Raw genomic sequence first — 17,276 nt, forward strand, 5'->3', positions numbered from 1 at the left:
TGATTTGGCTATGCGGGCTCTTTTTGGTTCCATATGAATTGTAGGGAGTTTTTTCTAGTTTTGTGAAGAACGATGGTGGTATTTTGATGCGAATTGCATTGAATTTATAGATTGCTTTTGGCAATATGGTCATTTTCACAATATTGATTCTACCCATCCATGAGCATGGGATGTGTTTACATTTGTTGGGTCGTCTATGATTTCTTTCAGCAGTGTTTTGTAGTTTTCCTTGTGGAAGCCTTTCACATCCTTGGTTACATATAATCCTAAGTTTGTTGTTGTTGTTGTTTTTGTTTGGTTTGGTATTGTGAAAGGGGTTGAGTTCTTGATTTGATTCTTGGCTTGGTCGCTATTGGTGTATAGCAGAGCTACTGATTTGTTTATATTAATTTTGTACCGTGTAACTTTGCTGAATTGATTTACCATTTCTAGGAGCTTTTTGGATGAGGCTTTAAGGGTTTTCTAGGTATACAATCATGTCATCAGCAAATAGCGACACTTTGACTTCCTCATTACCACTTTGGATGCCTTTTATTTCTTTCTCTTGTCTGATTGCTCTGGCTAGGACTCCCAGAGTACTATGTCGAACAGAAGTGATGAAAGTGGGCATCCTTGTCCTGCTCTGGTTCTCAGGGGGAATGCTTTCAAGTTTTCCCTGTTCAATATAATGTTGGCTGTGGGTTTGTCATAGATGGCTTTTATTGCCTTAAGATATGTCCCTTCTATGCCAATTTTGCTGAGGGTTTTAATCATAAAGGATCCTGAATTTTGTCAAATGCTTTTTCTGTGTCTATTAAGATGAATATGTGACTTTTATTTTTAAATCTGTTCATGTTGTGTATTACATTTATTGACTTACGTATGTTAAACCATCCCTGCATTCTTGATTTGAAACTCACTTGATCATGGTGGATTATCTTTTTGATATGCTGTGGGATTCTGTTAGCTAGTACTTAGCTAGTATTCTGTTAGCTAGTATTCCCTGTTTTGGTATTAGGGTGATACTGGCTTCACAGAATGATTTAGGGATGATTACCTCTTTCTCTATCTTGGAAGAGTGTCAATAGGATTGGTACCAATTCTTCTTTGAATATCTTATAGAATCAGCTGTGAATTCATCTGGTCCTGGACATTTTTTTTTGTTGGTAACTTTTGAATTACCATTTAAAATGCTGCTTGTTATTGCTCTGTTCAGAGTTCTTATTTCTTCCTGTTTTAATCTAGGAGGGTTATATTTTTCCAGGAAGTTATCCATCACCTCTAGATTTTCTCATTTATGTGTGTAAAGGTGTTCACAGTATCCTTGAATGATCATTTGTATTTTTATGGTATCAGTTGTAATATCTCCTGTGTCATTTCTAATTGAGCTTATCTGGATATTCTCTCTTCTTTTCTTGGTTAAATTCGCTAATGTTCTATCAATTTTATTTATCATTTAAATGTACCAGCTTTTTAATTCATTTATCTTTGTATTTTTTGTTTCAATTTCATTTAGTTCTGCTCTGATCTTGGTTCTTTCTTTTCTTCTTCTGGATTTGGCTTTGGTTTGTTCTTGTTTATCTAATTCCTTGAGGCATGACCCTAGGTGACTCTTTTTTCTTTGGCTTTGTTGGATTGGGTTAATTCAAAAGCACAAATTGTCTATTTGTGCTCTTTCAGGCTTTTTGATATAAGCATTTAATGCTATGAACTTTCCTCTTAGCACCACTTTTGCTGTATCCAGCAAAAGTTTTGATAAGTTGTGTCACTATTATTGTTCAGTTCAAAGAATATTTCATTGTTAACCCAACAATTGTTCAGGAGCAGGTTATTTAATTTTCATGTATTTTCATGGTTTTGAGGGTTCCTTTTGCAGTTCATTTCTAATTTTATTCCACTGTGGTCTGAGACTACAGGCTATAGTTTTGATTTTCGTAAATTTGTTGAGACTTGCTTTGTGGCCTATCATATGGCCTATCTTGGAGAACGTTCCATGTGCTGATGAATAAAATGTATATTCTGCAGTTTTGGGGCAGAATGTTTTGTAAATATCTGTTAAGTCCATTTGTTGTAGAATATAGTGTAAGTCCATTGTTTGTTGACTTTCTATCTTGATGACCTGTCTCATGCTATCAGTGGAGTATTGAAGTCCCCCACTATTATTGCATTGCTGTCTATCTCATTTCTTAAATCTAGTAAGCAATTGTTTCATATATTGGGGAGCTCCAGCATTAGGTGCATATATATTTGGGATTGTGATATTTTCCTGTTGGACTACTCCTTTTATCATTATATAATGTCCCTCTTTGTCTTTTTTAACTGCTGTTACTTTAAAGTGTGTTTTATCTGATATAAGAATAGCTACTCCTGCTTGCATTTGGTGTCCATTTGCATGGAATATCATTTTCCACCTCTTTACCTTAAGTTTATGCAAGTCCTTATGTGTTAGGTGACTCTCTTGAAGACAGCAGATACTTGGTTGGTGAATTTTTATCCATTCTGACATTCTGTATCTTTTAACTGGAGCATTTAGGCTATTTACATTCAACATTAGTATTGAGATGTTAGGTACTATTCTATTCATCATGCCATTTGTTGCCTGATTTTTTGTTTTTTGTTTTTTGTTTTTTCTTCATTGTGTTATTGTTTTATAGGTCCTGTGAGATTTATGCTTTAAGGAGATTCTATTTTTGCATATTTCAAGGATTTGTTTCAAGATTTAGAGCTTCTTTTAGCAGTTCTAGTAGTGCTGGCTTGGTAGTGCAAATTCTCTCAGCATTTGTTTGTTTGAAGATTGTTATCTTTCCTTCATTTATGAATCTTACTTTTGCTGGATACAGAATTCTTGGTTGATAATTGTTGTGTTTAAGGAGGCTAAAGATAGGACCCCAATCCCTTCTAGCTTGTAGGGTTTCTGCTGATAAATCTGCTGTTATTCTGATAGGTTTTCCTTTATAGGTTACCTGATGCTTTTGCCTCACAGTTCTCAAGATTCTTCCCTTTGTCTTGACTTCAGATAATCTGATGACTATATGCCTAGATGATGGTCTTTTTGCAATGAAGTTCCCAAGTGTTCTTTGAGCTTCTTGTATTTGAATGTCTAGATCTCTAGCAAAGCCAGGGATGTTTTCCTTGATTATTCCTTCAAATATGTGTTCCAAATTTTGGATTTCCCTTCTTCCTTGGTAACACCAATTATTCTTAGATTTGGTCACTTAACATGATCCCAAGCTTCTTAGAGGCTTTGTTCATTTTTTTAAAATTTTTTTCTTCAGCTTTGTTGGATTAATTTGAAAGCCTTGTTTTTGAGCTCTGAAGTACTTTCTTCTGCTTGTTCAATTTTATTGCTAAGACTTTCCAGTGCAGTTTTCATTTCTCTAAATGTGTCCTTGATTTCCGAAGTTGTGATTTTTTTAATGCTATTTCATTGGATATTTTTCCTTTCATGTCCTGTATCATTTTTGTTTGATTTCTCTAAGTTGGACTTCACCTTTCTTGGTTCCTTTTTGTTTGACTTAATAATCAACCTTACGAATTCTTTTCCTGGCAATTTAGAGATTTCATCTTAGCTTGAATCCATTGCTGGTGAGCTAGTGTGATCTTTTGTGGATGTTAAGAAAGCTTGTTTTCTCATATTATCAGAATTGTTTTTCTGGTTTATTCTCATTTGGGTGGATGATGTCAGAGGGACAATCTGGTACTCAAGGGCTGCTTTACAGATTCTTTTGTCCCATGGGAGTGCTACTTTGATGTGGTGCTCTCCCTTTTCCTCTAGGGATGGGGCTTCCTGAGAGCCGAACTATAGTGATTGATATTTTTCTTCCGGATCTAGCCACCCAGCAGAGCTACTGGGCTCTAGGCTGGTATTGGCGAGTGTCTATAAAGAGTCCTGTAATATGATCTGTCTTCAGTTCTCTCAGCTGTAGATATCAGCACCTACTCTGGTGGAGGTAGCAGGGGAATGAAATGGACTCTGTGATGGTTCTTGGTTGTATTTTTGTTAAGTGTGATGGTTTTGTGTTAACTGGCCTCCAGCCAAGAGGTGGTGCTTTCGAGAGCACATCAGCTGTGATTGTATAGGGAGGATACATGCTTGCCCTAGGGTTGCCTTTGGATGAGTATTCAGGTTTCTTGGGCATTGGGCAGGGTCACAGAGCTCCCAAGAGATTATGTCCTCTGTCTTTGGTTACCAGGGTAGGTAGAGAAAAACCATCAGGTGGGGGCAGGATTATGCATGTCTGAGCTCAGACTCTCCTTGGGCAGGGTTTGTTGTGGCCATTGTGGGATAAGGGGATGTGGTTCTCAGGCCAATGGAGTTATATTCCCAGGAGGATTATGGCTGTCTCTGCTGCGTCACACAGGTCGCCAAGGAAGGGGGTAAAGGCAGCAACCATAGGCCTTACCAGCTCCCACAGAGCCCATAGCCAGAAAGGCCAGTCTCACTCCCACTGTCTCCCCCCAACAGCACTGAGTTTATTTCCAGACAGCCCTTGAGCAGGACTGAGTACTTGCCCCAGGCTACAAGCCTCCCAGCTGAGAAAGCAAGCACACTCACAGTTCCTCTGCTGTCCCATGGAGCCTGCAGTGGCAATCCACCTCCTTCAAAGGTCTGTAGATTCTCTCAGCTTTCCTGGTATGTTCCTGTGGTAGTTCTTGGAGAAAAAGTTCACTATATGGGTCTCCACACACTGCTCTCTCCCTCCTAGTGGGAGCTGCAAGTTAGTCCTGCCTCTTATCCACCATTTTCCTCTTCTCTCCCAATCTACTGTGTTCTACGGGTCAATGAAAGTCAAAGTACACCCTAGGTGCAAGTGTTGGGAAAAAAAGTCATCATCTCCTCAAGGAAAGAGCTGTGAAGAGTTCATGATCATTTTTAATCCACCACTTGCATCATAAATACAAATCACCATAAAGCAAAGCATTATTGAATGCCAACATATGCCAGCTAATGCTTTATATGTAACATCTAAGCATTTATTATAATTCTATGAATGACCATGAATGAATATAAATGTCATTATTAGAGATGAGGAAACTGTACTACATAAAAGGTTAAGTAACTTGCCAAAGGTCATACAGTCTGTGATGCCGAAGCAGATTCAGGTCCAGTCAAACTACGAATCCCAGTCTCTTGATCACCATACTTCATAAAATGTACAGTAAGGTTATCATACAAGCTTTCTTTTGCTGCCATAACACTTTGCCACAAACTTAGTGACTTAAAACAATACAAATGTATTATCTCACAGTACTGTAGGTCAGAAGTTTGAAGTCACTTGGCTTGTTTCTCTGTTTCAGGTTTCACAAAGGCTAAATCAAGGCTGAGTTATTATCTTAGAGGCTTAGGAATAATATATGGCCAGGTTCATCCAGTTTGCTGGAAAAATTAAGTTCCTTGCAATCAAAGGCCTAAGGATTCATTCTCTTGTTGGCTGTCAGCTGGAGGCCACCCTTGGCTCCTAGAGGCCTACATAAGGAGATATATATATATATATCTCAAACCCAGTAACTGTGCCTCAAATTCTTCTCACACTTAGAATCTCTAACCTTCTTTTCTGCCGCACCTCTTCTGCCTCCTTTTCTGCCACATCTCTCTGACCGCAGCCAGAGAAGTTTCTCTGCTTTTAAGGGCTCATGTGATTAATTGGGAAAATCCAGATAATCCAGGATAACCTCTTTCTCTTAAAGTTTGTAACCCTTTCTCTTAAGGTTTGCAGGTTACACCTGCAAATTCCCTGTTACTCTGTAATGGAGTACATCATAGGATGTAGGGATTAGGGTGTGGACATTTTTATAGGCCGGGTGATTAGTAAGTATTCATGGAGGTAAAATTCAGTTGGATTTTAAGAGATACATAAGGTATTACAAGGTCCTCCTTGTGTTGGGGAGGAAGAAGTATAAGCCTATGGGAGAAGCTGCTAAGAAAAGCAACAAGAATCACACACGTAGAGACACAGGAAAGTGTAAGACATTTGTGATGAGTGATGATGATTAGAATGATGAATTTGTGGGAACAATTAGAGGAATGATATGTTAGAGTGCAGATAAGGTCAGCCAGTGGAGAACCATAAGTGCCACATAGAGGAATTTGGGTTTTATTCTACAGGCTACAGGAAATCATTAGGTTTTTGAGTGAAAGAGTGAAAAATTAAAATGATCCGCGGAAGTGAATCCAGTGAGTGTATGTGGAAAGATGGGAGTGAGGTGGGTGGAAGATAGCCAAGTAAATTATAATCAACCAGTTGTCCAATAATAAGGTTGATACAGAGGAAGGGAAACTGGTGAGAGATTCCAGGAAGAAAGAAACAGCTGGAGTATGGCTTGATTGAAGGTTGCACATGAAAGAGAATAACTGTGATCTTGGAAAAAGAGGGGTCGGGAGGAATGGGGTAAAATCTGCTACAAAGAGGAAGCCTGAGTCAGGTAAAGCAGTAAATGCAATTCCAGTCTAGAGAGAACAGCTCTGCCCTAAAAAGGAACAGCTGGGGTCTCCATCCTGCTCAGCCTTCATGTGCCACCATCTTTCCATTTAAAGGTAAGAAATGGACTCCTCCACAAAGCAGGCTCCCCACCGGAATCCCCCTGACTTCAAAAGCCACATCTCCAGGAAGAGAAAAGCAGAGGCATTTTTTCCTTCTGAAAAGTTCCTTTTAATATTTGGAGTTATTTTCCAAACAGTGGTTTAATTAGTGTTTTTAATTTCTAAACTTAATGAAAAATTAATAGCTCCATGGTTGCTCTGAAACTTCTGCGTGATTGTGTGTGTTATCTTCTTTTTCTTTCTTCCTATTTTTTAGTGCAAGTTTTTTATAGACTCAAATCTGAACTCTGGGGGCATCTCCACATCTCAGAATTGTTGTATATAATAATAATAATAAAGTCCCCAACTATACGAAAGTTTGGATTAAGAGATCACCCTTTAAGACATTTCTTAAACATTCTTTGGCAGGCCTGAGATTTACAGGGGGCCATCATCAAAGCAGCCATGTAAATGGGGACATATTGACAACTTTCCCCCTTAAAGGCAGACACAAACAGGATTTATATGCTTCAACCACAGCTCCCTTGGGAACTCAACAAGGGACTTATTTTGTTTCTCTTTTAATAGCTTCTCTTGGGTACTTTATGGACCAGTTCTCTCATCTCAAGTGTTTGATCCCAAGACATAAATTAATTTTAGATGCACCTTTTATCCATCTTGTCTGCTAAGGCAATATTCACTATTTGTTTTGGTTGCCATGGAGATAATTGACTTCCTGCAGTGGCAGGAGTCTTGTTTGGGGGTTTTAAAGGGGTTTGGGTCCAGGGATTCTTTAATTTTCACATCGTGAGGAAAGCCATTTCATCAATGGAACATTCGTATACATCTCCCACTTATAATTGGAATGATTTTTTTTATCACCTTGTGAAACTTCCCCTTTTATTTTTCATCACTTCCTTCTTTATGGTTTAACCTCTGCTCTCCAAGGTGTTGACTAAAACCACAGCAAAGGGCAAGCATTCTATTTATTACTATTTTGTAGAATGGTTGGACACAGCATCTCAGCAGAATACTATCTGAAAAAACAGCTGAAAAATCTGAAAAAAAAAAAAACAAAAAAAAAAAAACAAATGGTGGATTATAGAACCCTATTCAGATAGAGGAAGAAGCTACATTTTATCAAAGCAAGAAACACTTTGAATACCAGTTCATAAAATCAATCTCCCAGTTACCAACTCAGGCTGCTAAAGATTGGGTCCCTCTGGAGTTTAGGTACCAGTTCTGATATTTACAAAGGTGACTGTTGGATTCTGCTATAAACTGTTAGAACAGGCAACCTGAAAGTCTATCTCAAGTACAATGAGAAAAATTAAGAAAGAAATATCAGCTTTAAGAATATCTTCTTTGAGATATACAAATATACAAATAACAAAATGATAAATACGATATTTTACACACATTCCCGCCTACCTTCCACATTTTGACTACCATTACAGGTCATGAACATTTCCAAAACAAATTATCTAAAGACTTTTAATGGCATTTAAAAACCTAACTACCAGAAATACATCCTTTTTGTTGCATTCGATTTTTGAGAATCATATGAGTTATGGTATTTCTGTATATATATTTTACAACACCAAAAAAATCCTATGCCACTTATCCACAGGGCTAATATTTTTGCTAAAATAATTTTTTACTGTAGTTCAAAAAGCTATTACCAAATGAAAAAAATTAAATCAATGATCAGAATAAGAATTCTTAGGAGCAATAATAGTGAACAAAACTCTAAGAACCTACTTCAGTTCTTTTAAGTGCACAGCACAAAATCAATTTGCAATGACCCTGAGAATCAGCCTTCTTCACCACATGACAACAAAAGAAATGGAGGACGAAAACAAATTAAAGTTCTTAAAAGTCTTTTTTGCCTTCTAAAGATTTAAGGGTATCTTTGAGCTATGAAACTTTTAAAGGCAGCTCTTTGAATGCTTATCAATATTGTTGTATATTCTTACAGCAATGGCTTTTAGGCTGATCCTAGAAGCTCACGATTCACTTTCTGATTCATGTTTCATTCTTATTGTATTTGTTTATTTCATAATGTTTTTTTGAAGATGCATTATGAACATAGCACTGTGCTAGGCAATGGAGGGAGAGAAAAATACTTGATGCAGTCTAGACAGGCACCAACATCAGGATAACACAAAGCACATAATTGGATGTACATGTTCAGAAGACAACAAAATGCAAGGGAATACAAATCGGAGGGAACTGCTTCATTACAGGCCTCCCACACATTAGCTCATTTAACACTGACAATACCTCCACCTCACTGACAAGAAAGCTACACTTTAAAAAGGAGCCCGGATTTGACACTAGGTGTCTCTGATTCCTAACCTAAACACTAAACTACTAACCTGTAATACTTCCCTAGTTTAAGTATTATAGTTTACTTCAATGATGACATTTTAGCTGGACCAGGCAGGATTTTAAAGTGTTTAAGAGGGAGACAGGCATTCCAGAAGAAGAAAAGGATACATGGAGGCTACGGCATGAGTCCGAGACAGGGAAAATAACAGCTAAGTCTTACATCTCCAATGAGGAAAAGTCCTATTGAGAGGTGACAGCATGCTGGCAGCCCTCGCAGCCCTCGCTCGCTCTTGGTGCCTCCTCGGCCTCGGCGCCCACACTGGCTGTGCTTGAGGAGCCCTTCAACCTGCCACTGTGCTGTGGGGGCCCCTCTCTGGGCTGGTTGAGGCCGGAGCCACCTCCCTCAGCTTGCTGGGAGGTGCGGAGGGAGAGGCGCAGGTGGGAACTGGGGTTGTGCGTGGCACTTGCGGGCCAGCTAGAGTTCCGGATGGGCATGGGCTTGGCGGGTCCCACACTTGGAGTAGCCGGCCAGCCCTGCCGGCCTGGGCAGTGAGGGGCTTAGCACCCTGGCCAGCAGCTGTGGAGGGTGTGCCAGGTACCCCAGCAGTGCCGGCCCACAGGCGCTTCGCTTGATTTCTCGCCCGGCCTTAGCTGTCTCCCTGTGGGGCAGGGCTCCGGACCTGCAGCCCGCCATGTCTGAGCCTCCCCTCAACCCACCGTGGGCTCCTGCATGACCGGAGCCTCCCCGACGAGCACCGCCCCCTTCTCCACGGCGCCCGGTCCCATCAACCACCCAAGGGCTGAGGAGTGTGGGCACAGGGCGCGGGACTGGCAGGCAGCTCCACCTGCAGCCTGTGTGGGATCCACTGGGTGAAACCAGCTGGGCTCCTGAGTCTAGTAGGGACTTGGAGAACCTTTATGTCTAGCTAAGGGATTGTGAATACACCAATTGGCACTCTGTATCTAGTTCAAGGTTTGTAAATGCACCAATCAGCACTCTGTGTCTAGCTGATCTGGTGGGGACTTGGAGAACCTTTATGTCTAGCTAAGGGATTGTAATTACACCAATCAGCACTCTGTATCTAGCTCAAGGTTTGTAAATACACCAATCGGCACCGTGTGTCTAGCTCAAGGTTTGTGAATGCAAACCAATCGGCACTCTGCATCTAGCTAATCTGGTGGGGACTTGGAGAATCTTTATGTCTAGCTAAGGGATTGTGAATACACCAATCGGCACTCTGCATCTAGCTTAAGGTTTGTAAATGCACCAATCAGCACTCTGTGTCTAGCTCAAGGTTTGTAAATGCACCAATCAGCGCTCTGTGTCTAGCTGATCTGGTGGGGACTTGGAGAACCTTTATGTCTAGCTAAGGGATTGTGAATACACCAATCGGCACTCTGTATCTAGCTCAAGGTTTGTAAATGCACCAATCAGTACTCTGTATCTAGCTCAGGGTTTGTAAATACACCAATCAGCTCTCTGTATCTAACTAATCTAGTGGGGACATGGAGAACTTTCATGTCTAGCTCAAGGGCTGTAAACGCACCAATCAGCACCCTGTCAAAACGGACCAATCAGCTCTCTGTAAAACAGACCAATCGGCTCTTTGTAAAATGGACGAATCAGCAGGATGTGTGTGGGGCCAGATAAGAGAATAAAAGCAGGCTGCCCGAGCTTGCAGTGGCAACCCACTTGAATCCCTTTGCATGCTGTGGAAGCTTAGTTTTTTCTCTCTTTGCAATAACTCTTACTACTGCTCACTCTTTGCGTCCACACTGCCTTTATGAGCTGTAACACTCACCGTGAAGATCTGCGGCTATCGAAACCACGAACCCACCGGGAGGAACAAACAACTTCAGATGCGCCACCTTAAGAGCTGTAACACTCACTGCAAAGGTCTGCAGCTTCACTCCTGAGCCAGCGAGACCAAGAACCCACCAGAAGGAAGAAACTCCGAACACATCCGAACATCAGAAAGAACAAACTCCAGACACGCTGCCTTTAAGAACTGTAACACTCACCGCGAGGGTCTGCGGCTTCATTCTTGAAGTCAGTGAGACCAAGAACCCACCAATTCCAGACACACTATTATCATTCCCACTGTATAAATCAGGAAAACGAGGCTCAGAGAGATCAAGTAACCAGCCTAAATGCAAGCAACAGCTAGTAAATGGTAGAGCGAACCCAAGTGATCTGGCTCCGGAGCCTGTGTTCTTAACTTCTCCTGACCCCTGCAAGCGCCACCCTTGCAGAGACTGCATATGAAATTCAGGAGGGATGGGTGGGGCAGGGCCAGACAACCAACACCTGACAAAGGTATCTTGGGGTCAGGTTAACAAGTGCTGCCAATTGTCTTCTCAGGCTTTGAAGAGCCGTGTTTCGGGGTTTGTTTTTGTTTTGGAGCAGGGATAAGCTAAGCTCAGCTTTGTGTTTTAGAAAGATAAGCCTGGAGCAAAGAGGAGCATGGATTGGAAGGGATGAAAGCTGGAGCCACTTTTCTTTCAATAAAAATATATTTACAAGTAATCCACACACACACACAAAACTTACACACACACACTACACATAAACATATACCACGTGTACCCCAAATATACACATGTGAATACATACAACTTACACACATACACATCAAATATGCACTACATACATTCATATACCACACACATATACACACATACACCACACATACACATACCACATGCACTCACACTCCATACACATATACCACACACACATGTGCATGCATACTCAAACATGCCACACACATGCATACATACTACATATAAACCACCCACACATTGCCTACATATACGATACATACATACACACATACACATACTCACATACACATGCATTCCCTTGCCTGAATCATGAGGTAAATGAACTCAGAAACATAATGTTCACTAAGATTTCTTTATATCATATATTTTCTGCCTCCCTGAACACAGACTAGACATTATCCAGGAACTTGAGCCTGCAGGAAAGGAATGTTACACATCTTCATCTTCCACTTCTAATGACCCAACGTTAGAAAGACTTTTTCTTTTCCAGATTCATTTGGATATTTCTGAGCTCAATAAGCCTGCCAGGGGAGCTATCTTGAAAGCCTAAAAAGGGTCCTTAGGCAGCATTGTTCTCAATTCCGCAGATGCTATCCTCGTCATTTATGCCTTAAATTAAGAAAAACAATACATTTTGCTTTCCCTGGTTTCATCTGATTTTCTATTTAGAAATTGTATGTGTTAAGCCTGGACAATGTCAGTGTCCAGGCCGAGATAGTGACTCCCACCCAGTAAAGGATATCACACAGCTCTATGTGGGCTTAATTCTGCATTTGCCTTTATGCAAATGTCTAATTTTCTAGTTTTACTTTTTTTGTATCATAAATACACAACTATAATATTCTCTTTTTATAAGAAAAATATGCCTGTATCTAAACAAAATGAAAACATTTATTCTTTAGTGAAAATAACTGCTACCTGGATGGTAAATTATGTTCACATTATGGTTCATACTTGAAAATTATTTTTAAAGCGTCATGAAATTCTTGAAAGCAAAACAACATTTTTGAGCACACATAATTTAAGTTTCACTTAGGGACCATGAAAAAAATACATCCTTTAGAACACACATAGGGCATTTACAGGAAATGTGGTCCACGAGATACAGAGCCTCTGTTTGGTCTGAATGGAAGATCACATTTCATATTTTAAGGTCAAATTACATCAGTTTCTTTCCAGTAAAAAAAAAAAATAGCATCATACTAGAATGTTAATATCTTTAAAACCTCCAAGACTCGATATTGTGTTCTCTCGGGATAATTTACTGAAGATGAGACTGATGAGCTGCAGCAACCATTTAATACCCAGAGTTGCGCTTAGGAGAAAAGGATTTCCAGGATAAACCATTTGCAGGGAAAATTCAATCTAAGCTTCTTTATTTTCAGAACCTATGTTCAGGATGGAAGAAAAAAACCTCTAACATATACAAACACGGAGTTTTCAATCCTTATGATAACATTGGCTATTTTAAAGTGTTGGCATAATTTAGGACCTTGAATTTAGGACCTAATTCATGACTATATATTATAAAATCATTTCAGTAAAAAAAAAAAAAAAAAAAAAAAAAAACAACCAAAGTGATGTTTTTCCATTTCCTTTCCCTCATCTTTTATGCCACTCTCTCTGTTGGCTCTGTATTATTATGTTTACAGAATTGCATGCAAAATATATACACTAAGCATTTACTGAGCCCCCACTCTGCTAGGTGCACAGGGAGACATAAAATCGTAGGAGACTTCATGTTTGCCTTCAATGAGCCTGAAATCCAGCAGGAAAGGTAAGACAATTGTGGGGATACCTAAACACAGTTGTGAGGATGAACAGGATGGTGCAAACTACTTTAGGAACGCAGAGCTAGAGTGCAGAATCACCAGACTGCAGGCGAAAGAAGGCATGTGCGTAATTCCAACAGTGGGATATGAAATTCCCATTTCAGAGACATAAAGTTTAAGTGTGTTGAGGGACATTTTGGCTGCAGCAGCAGATGTTTGAGACCCTGTGTTAGAAATAGGAAGTGTTAACGACCACAGGTGGTTATCATACGAAAATGACAAACAGCAATAACAAAAAAAAAAAAAAAACATAAAAACCAGAGTGGCTTCTGCTAGGTTTGTTGGTATATTTTCAAACTGAAGAAAGTTGCTCATAAATTATCTTTCAGGTTGATTTTATTTTTCTCTCTATGCTCATGAAATGCTTTAACGAACATCTACACCTCCTCAGTGGAATTGGGAGTGAGTTATTTGTGAAAAACAGGTGAGGTTGTTGCTGAAGGACTTACTAAGTGTTTCTGCTTGAGTGATACAGCAGTGGACTCATAGATCTCCCAGAAGGTTTCGGACAATCATAGCAACTATCAAAGAAAGGAGGTTGTGGTCACTGGGAAGTTTTCCAAGTGGAATTTTAAAGAGGACTTTGTTAGAGAGTCCTCAAGGCTCTTTCTGAGCACTCACACACACCCCTCCTTTTCCCATTGGCACCCGCAACCTGAATTTTCTGCACAGAATCACATCCATATCTACAATGTGGAAGAATCAAAGTGGATCAGAGGCATCCCGCACTGCCCACACCTGTGGGGAAAGCGCCGCTGTTAATATTTCTGCTGAAATCTGAGCAGCCTGGAGTTCTTAGCTTAAGTAAATACTGAATCAAACATACCAGCCTACAAGGGAAAATAGCAGTCTCTGCCATTTGCAGAACATCTATCATGTTCAAGAGCCTTACATTCATTTTGTTCTCTAAATAATAATTATGTAGGGTTAGCTATTGTTATTTCTTTTTCATAGGCCTCAAAAGTCTAAATAATCTGCCCAGGGCCACAGGCATAGCAAGACGTTTTTTGATCCCAAAGCATCGCTCTACTTTGCTCTGGGATTGGAACTAGAACACACAAGTGAATTGTAAATTTTGATTTCAGCAACATAAAAACATGGCCATCAACTAGGTAGTAACTATATGTTGGGCTAATCCTAAATTAAATGAAAAACCTTTGGGAAGCCCAGAGCATACTATTCCAGGTTAGAAGAGACAAAGGAAGGGATCCAGCCTAGGACATCATAACCTCATACAAACAATAGGATGCCCAGCCCACAGGGGCCATTATTATGAAGTATTATTTATTCTCTCCAGGGACAGTAATTTCACAGGCATGAAAGCCATCTCAGAACCTTAACAGGGGGCTGATAATTCGTCCACTCATGCATAGTGCCTACCAAAGTGTACTGGATGAAAATCTGAACCTAAGCATATTATAAATTCATGGCTTTTCTCTATGAGTAGTTAATCTAAAATCAGAGATTTCAAGTAAAATATGGACATTCAAAATTACGGTGCTATCCTTTAGGAAATAAATGTTACTTACTCAAAAATTATTAAAATCGCATGGACTTGAAATGGGCTGATACCAAGGTATAGAGATCAATAGAAAGGAAAGATGAAAAGATCTATCCTAAAGAATAATAATCTTACTCTCCTACTACTTGCAACTTCGAATAAAATACATCTTAGATTAGGCAAATTTCCCAGGATCTTCTACAGAACCCCTTTTCATTCCTTTTTTTAGTGGCTGTGTTCAGAAGTAAGAGAGGTGTTGAGGTTTATGTGGAATAAAATATGATGACAAAAAAGATGAAGCAATTCATTCATTTCATGAATATCTGAGTATCAACGTTGTTTACTGCTGGGGAACATAAGCAAGAACGGTCAACAATCTGCCTCTGTGAAGCTCACATTTTGGTGAGAGGAAAAGCTGACAAAAAAGATAAATAAAATATAGAATGTGCACTAACAATGATAAGTAAGGAGAAAAATACAAAAGAGGGAGATAAAAAGTGTCTGGGGGTGCAATTTTAAATGAGGTGATCATTTAACATGGGAGCCCATGTCATCCATCCAAAGTCTTCAAATGAGTGGAAATACCCTAACCCTGGTAGAGCAGGCCTAATCAGTTGCTGCAGTGGTTTCCTGGGGCTGCTGTCACATAGTACCACAAGCTGGCTCCTTCAAAAAGCTATTTTATTGTCTCACAGCTCCGGAGACCAGAAGTTTGAAGTCAAAGTGTCAGTAGGGACTTCTGAGGACCTGTGGGAGATAATCAGTTGCGCATCCCTTTCTCCCAGCATCTGGTGGCCTCAGGCTTTCCTGTCTTCCCTCTGTGCATGTCTGTCTCTGCGTCCAAATTTCTCCTTTTTATAAGGTCACGAGACATACCGAATTACACCGCCCCCAACCCATAACCTCATCTTAACTTGATCATCGTAAAGACTCTATTTCCAAATAAAGTCACATTCACAGGTACTGGAGATTAGGACTTCAACATCTTTTGGTGGGGACATAATTCAATCCATAACAGTTGGTAAATAAGAAACGCCAAAAAAAAAAAAAAAAATTAAAGTCCTGACAATTCCACTTGGGGAGAGAAATCATTAAAGGGATTGATTGCTCTCATTAGGGAATGGCGGTGATGCCTGCTTCTATATTTAATAAAGGCTAATTTTGGCCCTATAAACATCCATAATGAATTATTTAATGCAAGCTGGCAAAAATATACCTACTGAACACAGATGTTGTCGTCCGTTACTATTGGCTTTGGCTATAAAATAAGAAAGGAATTAGTAATCTCTTGGGAACCAGAGCAAAAGAAAATTAGACAGGCCAAGGTGTCCTTAGCCCACCCAGAACAGCTCTGCATTCACTGGGCTGGTACCTGTGCTAGTAGCAGCCCAGAATGGGCTCGGCTCCCTGGTTTCTTAATAATCATATTTTCTTTTCACAAAGGGTAGAAAATATTATTGAGCTAAATTTTTCCCGTTGCCAACAAGTTAGGGATAATGTGCACCATGTGGATCAAGCTGATCACATAAATTAGGGCTTTAAAGCATAATATCTGAGCATTTCCCAACTGAACATTACTTTTCTGTATAAATTAAAAATGTCTAAAAGGGAGTTTATTAGAAGGAGACTATCAAAGCTTTTTATGAACATGCTTTCTCTTTTGATCTATATAATTTTCAAAAAGTGTTAGACATATCATGATTTCTAGCACAACTGGAATTTTAAATCTAAGAATCAGAAGAAAAAAATGCAAATAGGAAAGACATGATTTTGAAGCCATGTCTATTTTGCTGCAATTAGTCATTAAGCAGAGGAAATGAATTTCAGTAAAAAGCCTGCTTTATCTAGCACTTTATCAACCAGGAAGCTCTAGAAAAAAGCATTTCTGTTATCTCCCAACACAAATCCTCAATCTATTAACCACAGGACTATAAGAAGGTTGTTATTTGCTTCCTTACTGGTTTGGGGAGGAGAGAGAAAATTACATCTTTGCATCAGTGAGCTTTTTCAAACAATGGTGATTTACATGTCAATCTCTTGATTATTAAATATTATCTATGTGATTTTCAACTGCATCCAATAGAAAAAAAATTTCAATCGCAGATAATATCTTCGAAACACTAACTACTTTGAATTTCTATAAAGCCTTAGAGAAGACCAAAGTCCTTTCAAGGTATGCTTGTGGATCACTGAGCCAGAACAGATCTGAAGTGGTCATTTATTTCTGAGCACTCTCTTCAAGCATGTCAATATTAAAATATCAAATATTGGGAGACTTTTCAGGTTCTACTCTTAAAGAGTCTTAATCCACAAAGTGAATAGAGCCTCTGTGGACTTGAGAGATGACCGAATAGCAAAGAAAGTATTCATAAGGTGTCCAATTTGGTGGCCATGGAAAGTGGTAGCAGAATAATCCAAGCACCTTTCCTTGTCTGAATGTGAACTAGGAAAGGGTGAGGTTCTTCTCCTTTCGGAGGTTAGTCCATCAACTTACTAAGCCACAGAATATCTGAAAGATGCAAAGGCATATGTGTTGGTTTGCTTGTGT

The sequence above is a fragment of the Homo sapiens genome, chromosome 13 (genome assembly GCF_000001405.40).
Source record: "Homo sapiens chromosome 13, GRCh38.p14 Primary Assembly".
NCBI classification, from domain to species: domain Eukaryota; kingdom Metazoa; phylum Chordata; class Mammalia; order Primates; family Hominidae; genus Homo; species Homo sapiens.